Source organism: Homo sapiens, chromosome 20, assembly GCF_000001405.40.
Source record: "Homo sapiens chromosome 20, GRCh38.p14 Primary Assembly".
Taxonomy (NCBI): domain Eukaryota; kingdom Metazoa; phylum Chordata; class Mammalia; order Primates; family Hominidae; genus Homo; species Homo sapiens.
The window spans coordinates 62,620,301-62,637,209 of NC_000020.11; the positions used below are offsets into that span (position 1 = coordinate 62,620,301).

The 16,909-nt window shown below is 57.4% G+C and overlaps 1 long non-coding RNA gene across 1 annotated transcript, besides 5 other annotated features; it reads right to left on the reverse strand.

The window, feature by feature from the left end:
- Positions 3,870-4,229: an enhancer, noted in NCBI's record as "active region_18208". NCBI's record gives its function as "activates an Ori minimal core promoter by ATAC-STARR-seq in GM12878 lymphoblastoid cells {active_cell/tissue: GM12878}" and the evidence as "EXISTENCE:reporter gene assay evidence [ECO:0000049][PMID:35858748]".
- Positions 4,270-4,359: a silencer, noted in NCBI's record as "silent region_13115". NCBI's record gives its function as "represses an Ori minimal core promoter by ATAC-STARR-seq in GM12878 lymphoblastoid cells {active_cell/tissue: GM12878}" and the evidence as "EXISTENCE:reporter gene assay evidence [ECO:0000049][PMID:35858748]".
- Positions 4,490-4,539: an enhancer, noted in NCBI's record as "active region_18209". NCBI's record gives its function as "activates an Ori minimal core promoter by ATAC-STARR-seq in GM12878 lymphoblastoid cells {active_cell/tissue: GM12878}" and the evidence as "EXISTENCE:reporter gene assay evidence [ECO:0000049][PMID:35858748]".
- LOC124904948 (uncharacterized) lies at positions 12,146-15,614 on the reverse strand. Its single transcript, XR_007067710.1, has 2 exons — positions 15,042-15,614; positions 12,146-13,908 (listed from the first exon to the last, which is right to left on the reverse strand). It is a non-coding gene; the product is annotated as an uncharacterized LOC124904948 (long non-coding RNA).
- Positions 15,195-15,696: an enhancer, noted in NCBI's record as "H3K4me1 hESC enhancer chr20:61266847-61267348 (GRCh37/hg19 assembly coordinates)". NCBI's record gives its function as "activates a minimal SCP1, AML or CMV promoter by ChIP-STARR-seq in naive H9 embryonic stem cells {active_cell/tissue: H9 hESC(naive)}" and the evidence as "EXISTENCE:reporter gene assay evidence [ECO:0000049][PMID:30033119]".
- Positions 15,697-16,196: an enhancer, noted in NCBI's record as "H3K4me1 hESC enhancer chr20:61267349-61267848 (GRCh37/hg19 assembly coordinates)". NCBI's record gives its function as "activates a minimal SCP1, AML or CMV promoter by ChIP-STARR-seq in naive H9 embryonic stem cells {active_cell/tissue: H9 hESC(naive)}" and the evidence as "EXISTENCE:reporter gene assay evidence [ECO:0000049][PMID:30033119]".

Sequence of the window (16,909 nt, forward strand, 5' to 3'; positions counted from 1 at the left end):
TGATTTTACTCTCCCTTTTTTCTACTAAGTCTTTAAAATCTAGTGTTTGTTTTACACTTATAGACCATCTCAATCAGACACTAAATTTTTATCAGAAATCCTTGATTGTATTTAGATTTAATAAAATGTAGAGTAAAAAAGTATATTGTCACCCAAATTGTTTCAAACAAACTTGAAAGTTTTTAATAATGGAAATGGGTATTGGTTTTAAATTTTTAAGACAATACAATAAAACCCTCTGTGCCAAATCCCCCACAGAGTCATGGCATTGGGGTTTCGAAGGCCTCATTGCTGGCCCCCACCTGCAGGCATCCCTTCTGGGTTGACAGCCACGAGATGAGTGTTATCAGTGTCTGTGGGAGAAGCAGGGGCTCTGAGGTTGGGCGAGCGAAGGATCAGGTGGGCACTGCACACCGAGGGCACAAGAGCCTGGGAAGCCCCACCATGAGGGGCGGACTTGACTGAGCCCAGGCGTCCAGGCCCTTGTGGGCACAGAGTCTCCTCCCCAGGAGGCTGTTAGCACTCGGGGGGCGGGGGGCTCTGCTCGCCCTAGACCCCTCTTCTGGACAGATGGCAGCACCATGCCCCTCCCAAGCCCCATACCCCTGTGCAAGCCCTGCCTGCTGCCCGGAGGACCCATGCAAAAGCCGTCACCGCCCACGTCCAGGCCTGGGGGTGGGGGGAAGAGCACTCAAGTGCAAGAGGCAGACCCTGTGCCCCCACCCCTCCGGTGCCTCCCTCACCCCTCCTGTGCCTCCCCTACCCTCCCGTGCCTCCCCCACCCCTCCCGTGCCTCCCCCTCCACTCCTCCCATGCCTCCCCCCACCCCTCCCGTGCCTCCCCCTCCACCCCTCCCGTGCCTCCCCCACCCCTCCCGTGCCTCCCCCTCCACCCCTCCCGTGCCTCCCCCTCCACCCCTCCCGTGCCTCCCCCTCCACCCCTCCCGTGCCTCCGCTGCCCTGGGGTCGCAGCCTGGCAGGTCCTGCGCACCCCGATCCCCGCCGGCCAGCCTGGCATCACCCACACGGTCCGCCTCCCCACCCCGATGCCCTCCTACTACCCCCTGGCATTTTTCTGTGTGTGTCCAGCTCCTTCCTGCCACGGGGCCCTTGCTCGGCCGCTCACCATGCCCCGCCCTCCCTCGACTGGGCAGGACCTGCTAATCCTCAGATCCCGGCTCAGAGTCATGTTCCCAGGAAGCCCCTGGCCCTGCCGAGGTCAGAGCCTGTGACAGCCAAATGCTCCCAAACACACACCATGCTGGCTTGCGACCACGCCTGTGTGGCTGTGCCTCCGTGGCTGTCTCACCCGTGGTATCTGTGGCGTCGGGAAGGACCCTGTCTGGCTGCACCGCGTCCCAGTGCTAGGATGAAGTCAAAGCCCAAGAAACCAGATGAAAGAATGAATCCACAGACAGAAAACTGTGACAAAAGCTTTGAGTGCCCTGCTCCCGAGCACGGCTGAGACGCGGAGCTCACCCCAGCCTGGAGAACTCAGGGCAGCCGTGACCCAGGGGCAGGAAGAGGAGCCGGTCTGGCTCTGGGCAGGTCTGGGCTCCTTGGCACACGTGCCCCAACCCTGGCACTCCTCGGGGATGAGGGGGGCTGTCCTGCCTGGGTGCCACTTCAGTCTATGGGGAAAGGGTGGATTGCAGGCCAACAGACACTGCATTGACAAGGAGCTCATGGGAGCAGTCCCGGCAGCCAGGCTGGCCTCTGGGGAAAGGACCTGGGGCCAGGACCCTGAGAGTGGGGAGGACAGCTGGGGCTGAGGCGGAGGGAAAGCTTTGGGAAGCAGAGACCATGGGGGCAAAAGCCAGCATCAGGGGAGACCACGCACGGGAGGAGGTCCTCCGAGCAGGAATGCCCTCCAGGCAGGTTGGATGGCAGCCCCCGTGACAACCATGTCCTAATCCCCCAAGTCTGTGACTGTCACCTTACTTGGCAAAGGAGTTCAGAACCTTAGAATGGGAGAGGAGCCTGAATTATCCGGGTGAGCCCAGTATAATCACCAGGGCCATCTAGGAAGGAGGCAGGAGGGTCGGAGGCAGAGGAGGGGAGTAGAGGTCCGAGGCAGAGGAGGGGAGTAGAGGTCCGAGGCAGAGGAGGGGCGTAGAGGTCCGAGGCAGAGGAGGGGCGTAGAGGTCCGAGGCAGAGGAGGGGCGTAGAGGTCTGAGGGCTGCAAGCAAGGGCTTGAGCCAAGGAAATGCAGGTGGGAAAGACAGGGACATGGATTTTGCCTTAAAGCCTCCGGAAGGAGCTCATTCCTGCTGGCTCCTGGTGCCCCAGTTCAGTCCTCTGCCTCCAGAACTGTAAGGTGACCTGTGAGCTGTGTCGGCCCTTCGCTGGGGCTGTTACTGCAGCCCCCGAAACTCACCCGGCCTTCGAGAAAAGGAGTGCAGGTCTCACTCTGAGGCCCCAGGAGCCTCGGGAGGTTCCCAGCAGGAAACGACGTGGTCTCCTGCATGTTTCTAACTTAGAAGCCACCGTGGGAGTCCGGCCCGGAGGCAGCCCTGGCCCACGGCTCACGCTGCTCTGGGCTCTCTATAGAGTCGTCCCCCTGCTCCTCACAGTCCTGGTGTCCCCCGCTTTACAGGTGAACAAGCCGAGGCCCAGTGCTGCCTGGGTGCTGGCCCTTGCGACGGCCCAACTGGTTGGGTTGGGGCCATGTAAGTGCCAGGCAGGCTGGTGCTGCCTCCTGGGCGGTCACCTCCCGGGGACGCCACTCGGTCACCAGGGGAGGCGGCCTCAACAGTGCCTGCCGTGTGACGCTCCCCAGCCTCGGAGGTGGCCTTGGCTCCAGGGCCTATGGCAGGCCCATCAGTCCCAACAGGCGGGAAGAGCAGCCTGACCTGGTTGAGCTGGGACCTCCGAGGCCACGGACGTACACACCGTCCTCCCTCCACAGCCTCCGAGGCCGCGGACGTTCACACCGTCCTCCACAGCCAAAGGGCTGCCCGGGTGGTTTTGGTTCCATCAGTGAAGTTTTCTGTGGTTCACTCAGAGCGGAGCTGGGCATGGCTTCCTAATTGTGTCTCCTCTGGAGCACTTCAGAGCCTTCCCAGGGCCCGTGGAGCCTGAGGTGTGTGCTGGCACGTGTGGCACAGGCCTGGGAGTCCCAGCAGCGGCAGAGAGACCCGGAGGGGGTCAGGTGCCCTCCACCCACAGAGAGGGGGTGTGCGTGAAGAGGAGGGGTGGGACGAAGGAGGAGATGTGTTTTCTGCTTTAATGATTTAATGGGTATTTAACCCTCCCTTGGTATTTGCCTGGCTTCCGGGTGCTCTGAAAAGTTTCCCTAAAGGGGCTGGGGGAGGGGAGCTGGCGCCATGAAGGCGTGAGTCAGGTGGGTGAGGCTACGCTTGCTGGAAGGAGTCTACGTGCCTTCTGAACACACAGCTAACAGCCTGCACCTGTCCCAAAGGCCATGCTTCCCTGTGACAATGACTGGTTCCTGCCCACGTCGGGAAAGCCTTGGACAGCTTTCCTGGCCTCCAGAGAACCAGGGGAGTTGGGCTTGTCAAAGTTCCTGGGAGCCAGTGCTTCCCCTGCAGGCTGAGACCAGCCCAGGAAACTTCACTCTCAAACCACCGCCCCAGGGCAGAAACTTCCCTGGCCGCCTGCCCTGGTAATTTTCCAGGGTTGAAATTTTCCTCTCCAGGGCAGGAAGGACCTTCAGCCACTGATAGCTCAACCAGAAATGTTTCTACCGGACCAGAAGTCACAACCGCCCAGAGCATGACTTCACTCAGCCTCAGGGGCGGGGCTGTGGGGAGCAGTGGTCGGGGCCCCTCCCACCTGCAGATCAGGGGTGTGTCTGGCCACGCCCCACCAGCATCTGCAAGGGACAGAACGTTCCAGGGCAGGCAGCACAACAGGCCAAGGACTCAGGATCCCCGCCAGAGGGGCAGGGGCTGCAGGAGGCCACCCGCTCCCCGCTGACCTTGGCAGGAGCACCTGGGAAGCTGTGATGATCCCGCCCGGGTCTCCTCTCGGCCCTGAGGTCGCAGGACTCCAGCCACTGTGGAGATGAGAGGGAGTGTGGCTTCCCCTGAAATGAAACCAGACCCAAACCAAGACAAAAGCCTCCCACATTGATCCTATATTCCTGCCCTTCCTTGAGAGCAAGGGGCAGGATTTGACTTCCCCCAGGGGTAGGGGGGCACGCATGGCTGCTTGGGCCCATGGAAAGTGGCTGGAAGGGCCGCGTGTCACCTCTAGTGGAGACCCCTGGGACCCAGTGTGCAGTGCACCCTGGCCCTGGCAGCGACACCTGCAGCCTCCAGGTGGTGCCCGCGGGGGCCCGTGCAGGGACGCGGGACCAGGGCCCTGGCTGCTGTGGGGCCTGATCTGTCTGTGTTGATGGACACACCTCAGAGCCAGGATGAGGCCCAGAAGGACCAGGAGCCCAGCCTGTCTCCTAAGCAGCTTCCAGGTACTTCTGTATTTGGATATTTTTAGGAGAAGCTCTTTATTATCCAAAGATGTCATCATCAAAAAAGGGAAACGACCATCCAACCACACTTCTGCCAGTTTTACCGAAAGAGCAGACTGTGCCGGAACTCGGTGCTTAAAAGGACAGAGCAAACCCCTAGTCTACTCAGAGAGGAAGGGCACGTCCGCCCCACTCGAGGGAGGAACAAGGCTGTCCACTCAGTAAGTCTTTGTAAGGAGTGCCAGGGTCCTGGGAACAACAGCAGCCTGTGCTCCCGAGAGTCACCTGAGTCGGCCTGGACGGAGCCTGCAGTGACCGGACCAGGCAGGTGAGCGTGTGCCCAGGCACGGGCTCCGGGTTCAGGCACACAGAGACCTCAGCCTTTGCTTTCCCTCCCCACAAATGACGGCAAAAAAACACGTGAATCCAAGGCCCAGGGATGAGCTCGGTTTTTCCGTTCACAGTGATGCTCTGGGATGTGGAGGAAGAACTGGCACGAGGCTGCAGCGACGCGGCCCGGGCCTCCGAATGCTGAGTCAAGCAGGGCCATTGCACGAGGATGGGCGGGTGGGCGCAGGCCAGAGGTGGCTCTCCCGTGTCCTCCGTGTGGCCAAGGAGCATGTTCCTTCATCATCACAGTCACATCACACCACCAAGCCCCGCGAAATTCCAACCCTTTCATTCCTTAGCTTGTAAGATAATGCTGCGTGAACCAAGACAAGACACAGCCAAGGGGGCCATGGAGGGTGGCGGGCACCGTGCTGTAGGCTGAGCTGCTGTGCCAGGGCACCATGCTGCAGGCTGAGTGAGCTGCCATGCCAGGCGACCACTGGGCCCGGCCCTGCCCAGGGTGTGGTCAGCCCGGGAGAGCCATGCCAAGCCGCGGAGAGAGGAGCGGCCCCCAGCCTCAGCAGGGCACGTGCGCACACTGCCGGGGGCATCTGGGCCTGGACACGGGTTGTGATGTGGGACGTCGGAAGAGACAAGAAAAACATGGCTCCATGAAATGGGAGCAGCCTCGGGATCCCCAGGAAGTCTCACCCTCTGGAGGCAGGTGGAGCATTGACTTGGCCGGACCCCATGTCCCGCAGGCGCGGCGGCCCCTCGTGGGCATCTCAGCTGGAACGAGGCATGAGCAAGGGCACAGTGGAGCCGCACTAGGGTCCCATAGGGGCTGCTTGGTTCAGAGCGACAAGCCGACGGACAATGGAGTGGGTGGCACTGTGAATTGCAAGGCAGCCCATTCTGTCCCCGGAGCCCCCTCTGGGTGCCTTTCCCTTCGCAGCACCTTCCCTCCAGCTCCAGACACCTCAGGACCCGCCAAGGCCTCACACTGGGTGTGCAGGTCCTTAGGGATTCCAGACTGGCCCTGCAGTGCCTGGGGCGGGTCTGTGGGCCTGGGGAAGGGGCCGGCAGGGTTGTGTACCACAGTGGTTCTGCTCATATGTGTCTTACTTACTGGGGTTCTGGGTCACAGTTCAGTCCCGCTGCCTTCAGAGCTAGGAAGCTGAGGCTCTGAGGGGGGAAACCAGAGGAAGGGCAGGGACGGGTGCCCTCGAGGTGTGACCCGGCAGGCGTCTTCCTGAACAGTCCTGCCCTGCGGTGCCACTGCTCCCGCCTGCTGTGCCTGCTCCCAGACCGAGCTGGCCTTCCCCACCGCAGTCCCAACCCAGGGCAGGAGGCGCCCCCACACTCTTGCCTCATCCACTGGACCACCCGGGGTGCAGCCTCCCAGGCTGCCTGTGGGGTTGGCAGGACCCAGGGGCTTCCTCCTGACGTTGAGCATGTGTTGGCCTCTGGACTGACCTCCCAGGCAGAGGGGCACCAGGGAGAGGTCATAGCCTCTCCTCAAGCTCCCTGGGCACTGCTGGCAGCCCCAGGGTACAAGCAATGTGCCAACACCCCCTCCCCCTCCTGCTCTTCCAGCCCACGGTCACTTTCACCAGCAGCCTCACCCAGAGGGCACCAGCCTTGGTCTAGGTAAATGCCACCTCACCTCCACAGATGACCCTGGATTTCTCACCTCTAAGCCTAATTGCCCCCAAAACCCAGAGTTCCATGTCCAGCTGCTGATCCACTATCACGTCTGGCACCCAGCAGGTGTCTCAGAGTTTTCCTGTCTAACTCAGAAATTTTTCGGCTTTTCCCCAGTTGGCTCTCCCTGCCCCACCTGTCCTCCTCACCTCGAGAATGGCCTCTTTCCCTCGTCTGCCACCTCTGGCCTAAGAGTGAGTCCTGAGCCCTAGCTCCAAAACTTTTCTCAAGTCTGTGGCCTCCTTGCCACCCCTCCTGCCCATCACCTCTTACCTGGTCTCCTGTCTCCATCAGTCCCTCTCCATGCCACAAGATCTCCTAAGAACACACATCAAATTATGTCATACGCAGTTAAAATTTCTGCGGTTCTCTGTTGCTCTTTAGATAAAGTTCGAGCTCTTTACCATGTGTTGGGAGGAGGGCTGGCATGAGGAAGACCTTCATACATCATTGTCATTGTCATCATCACCATAACTCTTATCACCATCACTACCACCATCATCATTACCACCACCAACCTCATCATTTCAACTATTACCATCACCATGATCATCACCACCACCACCATCCTCATGACAACCATCACCACCACCACAACCATCATCATCTCAACCATCACCACCATCACCAACCCCATCATCATCACCCTCATCACAACCATCATCACCACCACCATCATCTCAACCATCACCATCATCACCAATCCCATCATCATCCTCAACACAACCATCATCACCACCACCATCATCTCAACCATCACCATCATCACCAATCCCATCATCATCCTCAACACAACCATCATCACCACCACCATCATCTCAACCATCACCACCACCATCAATACCACCACCACCACCCTCATTACAACCATCACCACCATCATTACCACCATCATCCTCAACACAATCATCACCATCACCACCACTACCACCATTCTCATGGTAGCCATCATCATCACAACCATCACCACCACCAATACCATCACCATCATTGCCAGCATCATCACTATCATCATCGTAGTTTGCCTACAAAGCAAGAGAGGGTCTTGGCTCAGTGTAAACAGGCTTTGATACTCCAAGCTCACCCCCTAGAAGTGGCAAGCCAAGACCCAGGAGGCAGGAACACCCCCAGACAGTGCCTCTATCACTGGGAATGAGGCCTGTTCAAAGGGAATTGTCCACATTTGTTTTGTGCTGCTATAACAGAATACCACAGACTGGATAATTTATAAAGAACAGAAGTGCATTGACTCACACTTCTGGAGGCTGGAAAATCTAAGATTGAGGGTTGGCGTCTGGCAAGGGCCCTCTTGCTGCATCCCCCCATGGGGGAAGTCAGAAGAGAAGGCAGGAGAGAGAAAGCAGGAGGAGGCTGAACTCGTCCTTTTATAAGGAACCCACTCCCAAGGTAATGGCATTAATCCATTCGCTCTGCCCTCATGGCCTAAGTTTCCAGCACAAGCGTATGGGGGGACATATCCAAACCACTGCACGAGTTAACACCTCTCAGACCATTTAGAGATATAAATAATGAGGGTTATGATGACAGTGTTTATTAGCACTCTTGGGGTTTTTCCATTTCCCTGATCTGATGCAGCTGTGAATAATTTGCCACTAGGAGCTGCGTCAGCCAGGCCCAGGAAGTGGCCCCTGCCTCACTCAGCCAAGCGTAAAACCTGCCATCCGGCCAGGGCCAAGATCCAGGCACAGACAACCTCTTGGCCACTTGACCCCCCAGCGAAATCCGCAGTAGCCCCTGAGATCAGGAACTCCCCTCAGCCCTTCCTTGCTCTGTTCTGGCCACTCCAGTGGCCTCTGTGCCTGCCTTCAGGGCCTCTGCTCTTGCTGCCCCCTCCTAGGGCATACTTTGGCCAGTCATCCACTGATGACTGGGGTCTTTGCCTAAATGCCATCCCCTAGGAGAGGCCTGTGCTACCCACCCCCCACCCCGGCCAGGTAGGTCTGTGAGATTTCCCTGTATGTCTCATCACTACTTAAAGTCAGCTTGTTTATTTGCATGTTTATCTTTCTGATCCATCTTCCCCGAGTGCCCTGGGAGAGCCACATTCCTGGAGCCCAGACCCAGCCCCCTGCAGGGCTTGATGCACTTTGCGGAGTGAATGGATCACTACGGTTACCTGGCCCCAAGCCTGCCAGGCAGAACCCTTTCTATGTGTCGTGGCATCGGTGCTCCCAACAGCCCTATGAGCTTGATGTTCTTATTAACTTCATTTTAAAGATGAAAATCCTGAGGCTCAGAGAAATTAATACACTTGCCCAAGGTCACACAGCAGGTATCTCTCAAAGTCAATAATCCCATCCAAGTCTGCTAATCCCAAGCCTGTGATCTCAGCAGCTGCACACACTGCTCCAGCCTGTGCCACACAAAGCAAGTGCCCATTGCAGGCAGTTTTTAAAAATCATTTTTAAAGTAAGGTATATACACACACACACACAAATATACTTATATGTGTGTGTATATATATATAAATAGGATATTATTTATATATATAAAAACAGGGTATTATATAAAGTAAGCTATATATATATACAGGGTATTTAAATTAAGGTGTAAGGCCAGGTACGGTGGCTCACGCCTGTAATCCCAGCACTTTGGGAGGCTGAGGCAGGTGTGTTACCTGAGGTCAGGAGTTTGAGACCAGCCTGACCAATATGGTGAAACCCCGTCTCTACTAAAAATACAAAAATTAGCCAGGCATGGTGGTGCATGCCTGTAGTCCCAGCTACTTGGGAGCCTGAGGCAGGAGAATCACTTGAACCCGAGAGGCAGAGGTTGCAGAGAGCCGAGATCACATCACTGCAGTCCAGCCTGGGTGACACAGTGAGACTCCATCTCTAAATAAACAAATAAATGTGTAAGCAAAGTGAGTGACAGAGCAACAGGGTCTTGCTGTGTTGTGTGGATGCTCCTGTTTCTCCATCCGTGCCCGGGGAAAGGGCGTGTGGTTGTTTCCAGTTTGGGGCAGTTCCGAATAACCCCTCTGTACACATTTCTGTTCAGGCTTTGTGTGGATGTGAGGTCTTACTTTTCTTTGAGCCGGTTTGCTGGATCCTACAGCAGGTGCCTGTTCCACTTGGGAGGAAGCTGCCACACTTCCGCACACAGCACCTTCTGCATCCCACCAGCAGTGTGGAGGAGCCCTGTCTTCAGGCGTATTTTTTAAAACTATAAAATGTTTTTTAAAAACACATCACGTAAAAGTTCCTACTGTTACGGGATCCTGGGGTGTCGCTTTGCCAGCTAGAAGCCTCTGTGACTGCTGGTGACTTTGCCCGAGTTTTGCTGGGGCCTGCTAGGCTTGTTCCATCCACTCAGCCAGGCAGGCTGCACTCGGCTCATGCTACCAGCCTGGATCCCACACCTGCTGAGGGTGAGCCGGGCATGGAGTGGCAAGGGGTGTGTGAGTGAGCGTGGGATCCGGCCACTGTTCACAGCCAGCCATGCCAGCTGTGGCGGGGCGGGCAGCTCCAGACACCAGCATGGGCACCGGCTCCCTGTGAGGCTGCAGCTGGACCAGGCGGACCATAATCAGCTTCCATGGCTGACACCAGGGAACGCAGTGGTGCCTGGAAGCTTGGAGCTACCAGGAACTGCAGAGCCCTAAAGAGGGTGTCACAGCCCTGGCTCCGGGAGCGCCTAGGTCTGGGCTCCCCGGAAGGCCACAGCTCTTCTCTCCTTCTCTCTTCTCTCCTTCTTGTCACCCTCAACGTGCTGAGCAGGGGTGTTTTGTGTTACGGCTCTTTCAGCCCCGCCATTTGGTGGGTCTCAAGTTCCTGTCCTGCGACCAGGAAGAATGAGGTATGCAGACAAGTAGAGGGTGAGCAAGATGAGGAGGAGCCTTACTGAGTGTTAGCACAGCTCAGAGGAGACCCGCCGTGGGCAGGTCCTCTCTGCAGCTGGTTGTCCCATCATCTTTTCTGGTCTGGCTGAGTCTGGGACTTTTTATGGGCCTCAAAGAGGAGGAAGTGCATGCTGATTGGTCCATGGGTGGCCATGGACGGGCCTGGAAAAAGCACCACAAGTTCCCAGTCTGGTCCATGGAACCAGCAGCCCAGCCCCCAGGTTTCAGGCCCTCCCTTGCTTAAAGGTGGGTCTTCACCAGGGACTCACCCCTTTCCACCAGGGAGCTTGTCTGCTGCTGTTCACTGCACCCAGGCTGTTTGTGCCAAGGGGCACCTGCAGCTCAGCACCAAGCTGCCCTCAGCATCTCCCTCGACCACCCTCACATGCTCATTGGCGCCCAAAATCTGGAGGGGGCTGAGGTGGCAGGGGGCTGGCATGTGAGCGCTGCCCCAAATGCACGCACAACTGGCCAGGCTGCAACAGTGCCCAGGCTCAGCCTCAGCTTTCCTCCATGATCAGGGCTGGTGCCGACAGTGGGAAGTCAGACAGTGGGAAGCACTTCTGGGCCTGTGGGGACAGGGGGGCCTTCCCGGGCTCCCAAGAGTGCAGGGATGCCTGGGTCCACAGCCATGGCTTGGGAGGCCGTAGCTATGCCCGGGAGGGTGGAGCTCTTGCCTGCTCCCAGCTCCCAGAGCACGGGGTGACCAGGTTGCAGCTGCGGTTTGGGTGGCCGCAGTTGTGCCTGGGGAGCTCTGGCCAACTCTGTGGAGTGTGGCACCACCCTGGGGGCCAGCTGTGCCTCAGGACCCCTCTCTGCCCATCCCTCCATGTCCAACCATGCTGCTTTCCTGCCAGTGGGTGACTTGGCCCAGCCCCACTGCGGTGGCTCCCAGGGGCAGCCGGCTCGGTGGGGTGGGGGGTCCCAGGAGTGGGGACTGCCTGCCTCCTCTCCGTGTCTTCCCTGCAGTGGCAGTGGGCAAAGTGCAGGTGGCGAGGTGGTCTCAACCACCTTTGCACAAATGAACCCGACACACTCGGGGCCGGCCCCGCAAGTCCCGCTGTGCCTTCCACCAAGTGCTCAGGGGTTCCCGAGACACAGTGGGGAGTGAGGTTGAGGCCGTGGTGGAGGCCCTGGGCCTGGGAGTGGGTCCTGCCCGGCTGTGTGAGGGTGGGGGTGGTGCAGTCGGCTGCCTCGGGGACGTGGGGCACGGGGATCTCATCACCGCCATTGCTGCTCCTGCAGCCACTCCTGCCACCACTGCCGGCACCTTCCTGCTGCAGCTGGTGTGATGGCAGCAGCCGCTCCAGACACTCCACATGCTGCAGCCATCACTGCCTTTGGCATGTTGAAGGGTACAGTTCAGTGGCACCGAGCCCATTCACAACGTGAATTCATCACCACCATCCATTTCCAGAACACTTTCCATCTTGCACACCTGAAACTCTATACTCAGTAAACAGTAACTCCCCCTTTTTCCTCTCCCCAGCCTCTGACAACCCCCATCCTACTGTCTGGCTCAGTGAACTTGACTAGGGACCTCCTGTAAGTAGAATCATGCAGTACTTGTCCCTTTGTGACTGGCTTACTTCACTGAGCAGTATGTCCCCAGGGTCTTTCCATGTTGTAGTAGGTGTCAGAGCTTCCTTTGGTTTTAAGATTGAGTGATATCCCCTTGTGTGGATGGACCATGCATCTGTCAGGAGACACCGTGTTGTGTCCACCTTTGGTGATTGTGAATATGGCTGCTACAAATAGGGATGGACGAATATCTCTTCGTGCCCTTGCTTTCAGTTTTGGGAGGTATATACCCAGAAGTGGAATTTAATTTTTAATTTTTTGAGAAACAGCCCTAATGCTTTCCACAGTGGCCGCACCGTCATGCGTTCCCATCAACGGTGAGTGCAGGTGCACTTTTAAGAAATCCCTGGAAATATGACATCAAAACAAAGGCAGCACAAACGCACACACGCGAGACAGCATCAGATTAAACAGCTTCAGCACAGCAAAGGAAACAAGCAGAGGAAAACAAATATTTCCTCCGGGCAGGAGAAAATGTTTCCAGTCATACATTGATAAGGAATGGACATCCAGATACATGTGGGACTCACCAGCAAGAAAATAAGGAACTCAATTTTAAGGCAGGTCAAAGACCTCCACAGAGATTTCTCCGAAGAAGACAGGATAATGGGAAACAGGCATATGACAAAAGTGTCCCATCAGCACTCATCAGGGAAATGGAAATCAAAACCAAATGGGCTATTGCCTCACACCTGTTAGGAGGGCAATTATGAAAACACAAAAGCCAGCCAGCGTTGGGGAGGATGTGGACAAGAGGAACCCTGGTGCAGTGTTGGTGGAAATGTAAATTAGTACAGCCATTATGGAAAACACTATGGCAGTTCGTCAAAAAATTAAAAATACAACTGTCCTAGGATCCAGCAATCCCTCTGCTGGGGAGGCACCCAAGGGAAGTGGACTCTGCACCTCGGGGAGACATCAGCACCCCCGTGTTCACTGCTGCACTGCCCACAACTGCCAAGATATGGAAGAGTCCGATGGCAGATGAGTGAATTTTACATATGTAGTGTAGATACACAGCGGAGTACTACTCAGCCATAGAAATGAATGAGATTCAGGCCAGGCGCGGTGGCTCATGCTTGTAACCCCGGCACTCTGGGAGGCCAAGGCGGGCAGATCACCTGAGGTCAGGAGTTCGAGACCAGCCAACATGGTGAGACCCCATCTCTACTAAAGGTACAAAAATCAGCCGGGCGTGGTGGCACATGCCTGTAATCCCAGCTACTCAGAGGCTAAGTCAGGAGAATCGCTTGAACCCGGGAGGCGGAGGTTGCAGTGAGCTGAGATGGTGCCTGGGTGACAGAGCAAGACTCCGTCTCAAAAAACAAAAAAGAATGAGATTCAGTCATTTGCAACAACCTGGATGAACGTGGAGGACATTATGCCAAGTGAAATAAGCCAGGCACAGACAGACAGATACTGCGTGCTCTCACTTACACGTGGACGCTAAAATTCAAGTTGAACTCATGAAATCCAGAGCGGTAGGGTGTTTACCAGGGGCTGGAGGGGGCAGCAGAGACGCCGGCCAGAGAGCACAAAGTTTCAGCTCTAAGATGAGTAAGTTCTGGAGCTCTGATGTACAACATGGTGATTACAGCTATTAATGCATACTTAAGAACTGGAAAGAGTGGGCTTTAAATGTTCTCACCACAAAAAAATGTAAGTATGTGAGGGATGGTCGTGCTAATCGCTTCTCGAGCCATTTCACAGAGCGCACGCGCGCCGGAAACCATGTGGAACATTTTATGGAGCATTTTTACCTGTGGATTTTTAAAAAATGAATTAATTAAAATTTGAAACCTGAAGTTCCCAGAAGGCAGGGAGTCGGGGGCTGTGAGGCGGGGGGCGGGGGCGGCCCTGTTGGCTGCCCTTACTGGCCGCAGTCTTCCCAAATTCAGGCTTGAGAGAGGCTGAAAGAGGGCCCTGGAACGTGCATTCTTCCCAGCACCGAGCCTCCCCTGCAGCTCTGGCGCAGGCAGCAGCCACTCAGGCGTCATTGGCTAAGATCAAGAGGATGTGCCGTCAGTACAGGAGGCGAGAATGAACCAAGACCCTTGCAGCTCCTCAGACACAGGAAGCGCTTCCAGGCTCGGGGAGTGGGGTCCTCAAGGGAGGGGGGGCAGAGGCAAGGCTGGGGCACCACCAAATGCCAAGTGCCCCAGTCTGACACTCAGAACCAGCCCAGGAGAAGGGGAAGTTGGCTGAGAACAACCAGGCCCAGCCAAGGCCCCCAGCCTCCGGCCCCGGGACGGTCTCCCTGAAGCTCCTAGCGTACCCCCTTATTTTCTCCCGGAAATTGTCCCATGTCACCTGGCCTAGCCTGCCCTGCCTGCCGGGAGCCTCCCTCTCCTGGGACCCCACCCCCATCCAGAGGCCCTACCCAGAGCCACGGGGTTGTGAGGGGTGGGTCAGCTTCTCTGGGGGCTCCAGGCCTGGGGTTCAGCGGCGTCCTCCTGCTGGTGGTAGTAGGGGTGCTGGGGGCATGAGCCTCCTGGACTGAGCGGGGGAACCCAGGGGCATGCTGGCCAAGGGCAGTCCTGGACAGGGGTCAGCGGGGTTTGGGGGGTGGCAGAGAGGGAGGGCCTGAGCTGTGTGTTGGATGGTGACACCTCTGGTCAGGTGGAGGAGGGGCGGGAGACAGAGACAGAGACGGATAGTGAGGGTGGGAGGCACCAGCGGGTTGGAGGCCCCGTCTTCCCAGCCCCTGACGGACCATCCTGGGAGATGCCTGGTGTGGTGGGGCCTGGCTCGGGACAGATGTGCCCTGGGCTGTGATTGTGGTGATTCCTGCTGGGTGTAAGGGGCCACCCGGGGAGCCGGCACCCACTCGGGAGGAATGCACCCTGCCTTAGGACAGGCCCATCCAAAGAAACAGCGCTTCTCTCTCGGTGGACTTTTTAAGACAAAGAAATAGGTGCTCAGTGGACCAAGTGAGGAGCGTTTAGAAGGTGGCACCTTGTCCCGCTGCCCTGTGTCCCTCCCTCCCCACTGGGCTGTCGGCTGGTGCCCCCCTCCCTGAAAGAGCACCACGGTTTCAGGGCCCCAAGCTGCGGTGCAGCCTGCTCTCTGGGATGGCAGCAAGGCTGAGCATTTCTCCCTCAATAATGCCCACCACTCCCAACCTGTCACTCACTCGACCGCTCCCCACAGGCAGACTCCAGGCTGTTTGCAGTTTGCTGAGCCAGGGTCGCGTGCATTCCATCTGATGACAGGCAATGTCAGGTTATTCTCCCAAAAGGCCCTGGCAGGTTACCCCACACCCAATCCTTGCTGATGTCACCTTTGCCAGCTCCCTCCGGGGACCTCTGAGACGTTTCTCCAGGACAAGGAACAGCACGAACATGTCAGCCTGCGTGGATGAAACCGGGAAGATGGCCGCGAGCCGTGTGCCCACACAGGAGTGTGGCCATGGCTGTCGGTGTGAGGCTGTAGCTCTGTGGAAAACGCAGACCACACAGTACAGAGGCGAGGCCGTCTCCAGAGCTGGCATCATCAATGTGGCTACCATCGGGCAAGGCCAGAAGAAAATACGGAAAATAGGAAAATCGCTGCTGGACTCATGTCCTTGGGCCTTCAGCAAATTTTCTCCTTTAAAAATTTCCTTTAATACTGTGTAATGTTGCTTTTGCGAAAATAAAATTCCCGGGACAAAAAGAGGAGGCAGAGAGAAAGACAGAGGCAGAGAGAGAGAGAGGGAGAGACAGAGCCCACAGTCCACCCGCAGCCCGCAGCCCGCAGCCCGAAGCCCGCAGCCCGTGGGGGAAGAGGAGGGCGCCTGCAGGCAGCAGGGGGAAGGCTGCAGATGGGGCTGGACCTGAGGAGGGGCTGGGGCATGGGATTCTCTGAGCCCAGAACGTGGAGAATGCCTCGCTGCAGACATGACCGGGGGCTGTGCAGGACACAGACGGCCACAGAAGCCAGGGTGTGGCCGGGGCTAGGCCTGCCCTGAAGGCTGCCGAGGCGGAGTAGGTGACGGTGGGGTGAGGACTTGAGAAGCAGGGGACACTTTTTCCAGAGGAAGCTGCTCTCCCAGGGGTGCCTCAGTGGAGCAGAGCGAATGGAGCGAACAGACTGAATTCACGGCATTTTAGGACGGGGGACCTGGTGTGGGGGCTTGGATGGAAAGACAGGGAACAGGATAAGCCCTGGGAAGGAAAGGGGGATGTGGCTGCCTCTTCAGGGGCCGGGGTGGGCGTCTGCCCAGGAGGGCAGCGGAGGAGGGGAGGGCAGTGCGGGTAGGGAGGGGAGGTGGCCCCACAGACGCTGGGAGTGCCCAGGTTTTCTGACAACCTCAGCCGCTTGGCTAGAGCGTCTGGAAGGATTTGCGGGGAGCATGTCTGGGGGAATCGAGGCTCTGTGACGGGTGACGGCACAAAGGGGCCCAGCAGGCCTGGCTCCAGCGCCAGCCAGAGGAGTGGCCGGGGGATGAGAGAGCCCAGGAAGGCACCCCAGGGAGGTGCAGCACGCGCCGCCGACTCAGCCCTGGGCCCCGTACGCAGGAGCCACCCCCTTCCTGCAGATGGAACAAACCATCTGGGGTCAGGAAATTGAGCTGGCTCTTCTAATCTCCTCTAGAGCTCCACGTTCCTGGGGTTTAAGTAGAACATCCAGGCCTCTCAGTGAGCCAGAAAAGCCCATTTCTACCTTGTGATGGGGAAGATGAAAATTCTGTGAGTCTCCTACGTGGGAAAGGGTCCGGCTTGCCTGCAGGATGCTGACTGCGTGGCACCTAAACACAGAAAGTTCTGGAAGATTCCTTGCCCCTGTGTAGGCTTAAATATCGTTCACTAGCTCTGACAGTCCACCCAGGCCCTGGGCAACATGTTCCAGGGCAGAGCAGGTTGGCACAAGATGGACATGGTCATGGTGCCTTCCACGGTCACGGGACCCTGGGGACAGCAGACACCGCCCAAGAAGGAATCTCAGGGACCTGTGGGCATCCCTGTTTTTGTGCCTCTGGGTTCTATCACCTGACTTCCCCCAACAATGAGCTCTGCACAT